General features: G+C 36.4%; 1 non-coding gene across 1 annotated transcript; it reads right to left on the bottom strand.

The window, feature by feature from the left end:
* Positions 1–949: 949 nt before the first annotated feature.
* Positions 950–1,083, bottom strand: LOC124900225 (small nucleolar RNA SNORA33). Its single transcript, XR_007059952.1, has one exon. It is a non-coding gene; the product is annotated as a small nucleolar RNA SNORA33 (small nucleolar RNA).
* Positions 1,084–5,515: the final 4,432 nt, after the last annotated feature.

Here is a 5,515-nt window from a genome sequence, read left to right as displayed (position 1 = left end):
GAAGCTGTGAAACTGTCATCTTAAATGGCATAAAAGTAAATGCATGTAGGGAATTGTGACGCAACTGGCAGGAAACACTAAGGCCCAATTTAGGTCTATAATTATTAATTTATAATGAAGTAATCAATTAGTTGGGCATTTTTCTTCGTTCATTTTATGTTGTACAAGTTTCAAGTGCAGAGTAGTTATAAAGTTGGATTAAACAGGTTTTGATTTTATTAGGTGACTACAACAAAGCTAGAGACAAGCCAGAGAGTATATGTGTTCAAAAAAGATTATAATAATTGACCATAATATTTAGACTTGTTTAGGAGCAGGGGGAAGATATCAAATATCTCAGTGACAGGAAAAAAATTAGTAGAATTCCTAGTTTGGAGGAGTGGAGTAATAGAGAAAGTGAGTTGAAAGGATAGACAGTAATGATGACCAAAAAGTGAAATGCAGGCAATGTAATCATTCAGGGTCACATTTATTGTTAATAATAAGTCCCGGGGCAATATCATGTGAGTGTGTAGGTAAGGCAGAATGCAGGGGAAGATCATTGGAAGGTAAATTAAGGAAACGAAGGGCCTGAGAGTTATGTATGATTATGTACACGTATACTGAAATCACCAGAATTAAGACTGAAGTAGTGTGGAAAGAGTGATATGGAGCTGGGAACAGATGCCTTGGAAAACATGCGATAGAATACCTGGGATCTGAAGATGACAAAAGCAAATGAAGAGTAGTAGGTGATATAATCCATGGAAATGAGATTCAAAGCTATATCTTTAGGAGACAAATTGTAGAATTTTATAAAAATGGCAAAGAGGAACAAAAGCATTTCTACTACACCTCCCAGCCTAACAATCACCACAATACCTTATACTACCCTAGAGGGCAGCAGGGAAAACACTGTCCTCAGGGAGAAGCCAGGCTTTTAATTTTTATTATAATTATGTTTTTAATTTGTTATAGCCATTTTCAGGGATCTTAACAACTTCAATATACTTAAGGCTCATAAATGGCTTTACTATTACCAGCTTTTTAAAATAAAAATTTCTGCAGAAACATGTTTAGGTAAGCAGATTCATTGGCTAGCTTGTTTTATTTTATAGTACAATGAATTAAGGAAAGCTTTGAGAGAAGAGGTTGAAAAAAATAGGATATTTTGCTGCTCATGGTCTTTAAATTACACATGACATTGTAGAAGATTTTCTGGAATTGAGAAGAGGTGTGAGAAGTATATAGACTAGAATATATTCAGAGCTTGATTAGATTAGTGGGTATGTGGAAGAATTGAGTTATCTGAATGTCTGGTGTTTCTAGGGGTGAATCTATAACAGTATTTTTAAGATTTTTTTTCCTTGTAGATTCAGGACTGGAGAGGCAGGGAAGAGCTAGATCACAGGGAGATTTATAGAGTGGGGCCAGGAACTTAGTTATATTTTCAGAGTAATGTTAAGCCACTGAAGAGTGTGTGCCGATGTTAGGAGTAAAGGTGGGACAGAGAATAGAGTAGTAGATCACCAAATTTTACTTTTAAAAAACATGAGACTATCTTTTGGACATAAAATAGTCCTATAGGGCAGTCCCCCTCCCCACACAAAAAAGATTAATTATAAGGATGTTAAATCAGTTCAGGTAGAAAATGATGAGCATTTAGATTATAGTTTAGATGAACACAAGTAGAACTGATCTCAAGTTGATATTTAACAAGCCATGCTAATACATCAGGAGGAACCAAGGATGATCCCAAATATTTGTCTTTGACTATGGCATGTGCACTTCACTAAGGTGCAAACAATGGGAGATAAACGTTTGAAGAGACTAATGATCAAAATTCTGTTTTGGACAATTAAAGTTTGAAATGCCAAACAATAGAAAAAAAGGAGCACTCTTCCCTAACTCATTTTATGAGGCCAGCATCATCCTGATACCAAAACTTGGCAGAGACACACACAAAAAAGTTCAGGTTGACATCCCTGATGAAAATCTTCAATAAAATACCGGCAAACCGAATCCAGCAGCAGATCAAAAAGCTTATCCACCACAGTCAAGTCGGCTTCACCGCCGGGATGCAAGCCTGGTTCAATATATGCAAATCAATAAACGGAATCCATCACATAAACAGAACCAATGACAAAAACCACATGATTATCTCAATAGATGCAGAAAAGGCCTTCGATAAAATTCAACACCACATTCATGCTAAAAATTCTCAATAAACTAGGTATTGATGGAACATATCTCAAAATAATAAGAGCTATTTATGATAAACCCACAGCCAAAATCATACTGAATGGGCAGAAGCTGGAAGCATTCCCTTTGAAAACTGGCACAAGACAAGGATGCCCTCTCTCACCACTCCTATTCAACATAGTGTTGGAAGTTCTGGCCAGGGCAATCAGGCAAGAGAAAGAAATAAAGCTATACAAATAGGAAGAGAGGAAGTCAAATTGTCTCTGTTTGAAGATTACATGATTGTATATTTAAAAAACCCCATCATCTCAGCCCAAAATCTCCTTAAGCTGATAAGCAACTTCAGCAAAGTCTCAGGATACAAAATCAATGTGTAAAACACACAAGCATTCCTATACACCAATAACAGACAGAGAGCCAAATCATGAGTGAACTCCCATTCACAATTGCTACAAAGAGAATAAAATACCTAGGAATACACTTACAAGGGATGTGAAGGACCTCTTCAAGGAGAACTACAATCCACTCCTCAAGGAAATAAGAGAGGACACAAACAAATTGAAAAACATTCCATGCCCATAAATAGGAAGAATCAATATCATGAAAATTGTCATAATGCCCAAAGTAACTTATAGATTCATTGCTATCCCATCAAGCTACCATTGACTTTCTTCACATAATTAGAAAAAACCTACTTTAAATTTCATATGGAACCAAAAAAGAGCCCATATAGCCAAGACAATCCTAAGCAAAAAGAACAAAGCTAGAGGGATCATGGTACCTGACTTCAAACTACACTACAAGGCTACAGTAACCAAAACAGCATGGTACTGGTACCAAAACAGATATATAGAATAATGGCACAGAACAGAGGCCTCAGAAATAACACTACACATCTACAACCATCTGATCTTTGACAAACCTGACAAAAACAAGCAATGGGGAAAGGATTCCCTAATTAATAAATGGTGTTGGGAAAACTGGCTAGCCATATGCAGGAAACTGAAACTGGACCACTGACTTACACCTTATACAAAAAGTAACTCAAGATGGATGAAAGACTTAAATGTAAGATGTAAAACCATAAAAACACTAGAAGAAAACCTAGGCAATACCACTCGGGACATAGGAATGGGCAAATACTCCATGACTAAAACACCAAAAGCAACGGCAACAAAAGCCAAAATAGACAAATGGGATCTAATTAAACTAAAGAGCTTCTGCACAGCAAAAACCTATCATCAGAGTGAACAGGCAACCTCAGAATGGGGGAAAATGTTTGCAATCTATCCACCTGACAAAGGGCTAATATCCAGAATCTACAAGGAACTTAAACAAATTTACAAGAAAAAAAAAAACATCAAAAAGTGGGCAAAGGACATCAACAGACACTTCTCAAAAGAAGACATTTATGCATCAAACAGACATATGAAAAAAAGGTCATCATCACTGGTCATTAGAGAAATGCAAATTAAAACCACAATGGGATACCATCTCACACCAGTTAGAATGGCAATCATTAAAAGTCAGGAAACAAAAGATGCTGGAGAGGATGTGGAGAAATAGGAATGCTTTTTCACTGTTTGTGGGAGTGTAAATTAGTTCAACCATTGTCAAAGACAGTGTGGGATCTAGAACCTGAAATACCATTTTGTCCAGCAATCCCATTACTGGGTATACACCCAAAGGATTATAAATTGTTCTACTATAAAGACACATGCACATGTATGTTTATTGCAGAACTATTCACAGTAGCAAAGCAGAACCAACCCAAATGCCCATCAATGATAGACTGGGTAAAGAAAATGTGGCACATATACACCATGGAATACTATGCAGCCATAAAAAAGGATGCATTCATGTCCTTTGCAAGGACATGGATGAAACTGGAAACCATCATTCTCAGCAAACTAACACAGGAACAGAAAACCAAACACCACATGTTCTTACTTATAAGTGGGAGTTGAACAATGAGAACACATGGACACAGGGAGGGGAACGTCACACACCAGGGCCTGTTGTGGGGTGGGAGGCTAGGAGAGGGATATCATTAAGAAAAATGCCTAATATAGATGACAGGTTGATGAGTGCAACAAACCACCATGATGCGTGTATACCTCTGTAACAAACCTGCACGTTCTGCACATGTATCCCAGAATTTAAGTATTAAAAAAAAAATTGAAACTTAAAGAAAAGAAAATCTGTTTCTACATGAACTTTTATTTTTAAAATGCTGGCTATAATAAAGCCATATCCCAGGGTTTTAAAACAAGGATAATAATTATAATACTAGTAGTAGCAGTAGTAGTAGTAACAGTTGTAGTAGTAGTGGTAAAGCAAATTTGCAAGTCTTAAGGATATTGAAGTCTTTAAGGTCCTGAAACAGGCTGTAACAGTTAACAAATAATTGGAATGAAAAATAAAAGGCACACTTTGTTTCCCATTAAGATTCAGCCACACTGGCCTTTTTTTCTGTTCTTTGCAATGTAAGCTTGTTACTTTCCTAAGTTTATGCACAAGCTGTTTCTCTACATGTAATGCTCTTCCCCCTTTGCTCTTTTTTTTCCCCATTTACGTATCACTTCAGAAAAACTTTTTTTCCTTACAAGTCAATTTCAGCTGGAAAACCTGCTGTATCCAACATTTCAGTCCATTTGAACTCTCTGCATACTACTTAACACTACCTGACATTGCTTTGCTCAAAAAAAACCCTTAAGTTATATTCACTGGTCCAATCCCAACATTCCAAAGTAACTAACACCAATTAGTGCTCAATATATATTCCTTGATCTTGAAGAATGCAGAAAGTGGATGTTAAGTATTCTTACCACAAAAATGATAGCTATGTCTAGTAATGCAGTTGTTAATTAGCTAGATTTAACCATTCCACAATTTGCATATACTTCAAAGCATCATGTTGTACAGAACAAATGCATATAACTTTATCTGTCAATTTAAAAAAATCATTTAAAAAAGGAAAATTTATAAATTTACACACACACACACACACGCACATATATATTCATTGAATGAATGAGAAAATGGATGAATGACTGATGAGCAACAGTTTGACCCCAATCCTCTCTCTTCACATCATAGCCATAACCCACTCTCATAACCCACCCCAACTCCAAGCACAGTGGGATTCCTTTTAGTACATTTTAAAGTGTTAGGCTCCTTTCTGTATCAAAGGCCTTTACACAATATTCCCTCTCTGCATGTAACACCTTTCTCTATATTTTCCACCTCACCCAATAAACTTGTGTTTATCCTTCAAATTCCAGCTCAAATATCCCCTCCTCAAGGAAATCTTCTCTGTATTCCATGACAAGGG

Source organism: Homo sapiens, chromosome 6, assembly GCF_000001405.40.
Source record: "Homo sapiens chromosome 6, GRCh38.p14 Primary Assembly".
NCBI classification, from domain to species: Eukaryota; Metazoa; Chordata; class Mammalia; order Primates; family Hominidae; genus Homo; species Homo sapiens.
The sequence above is the reverse complement of the archived record's forward strand: the minus strand, read 5'-3'. Positions and strand labels throughout refer to the sequence as shown.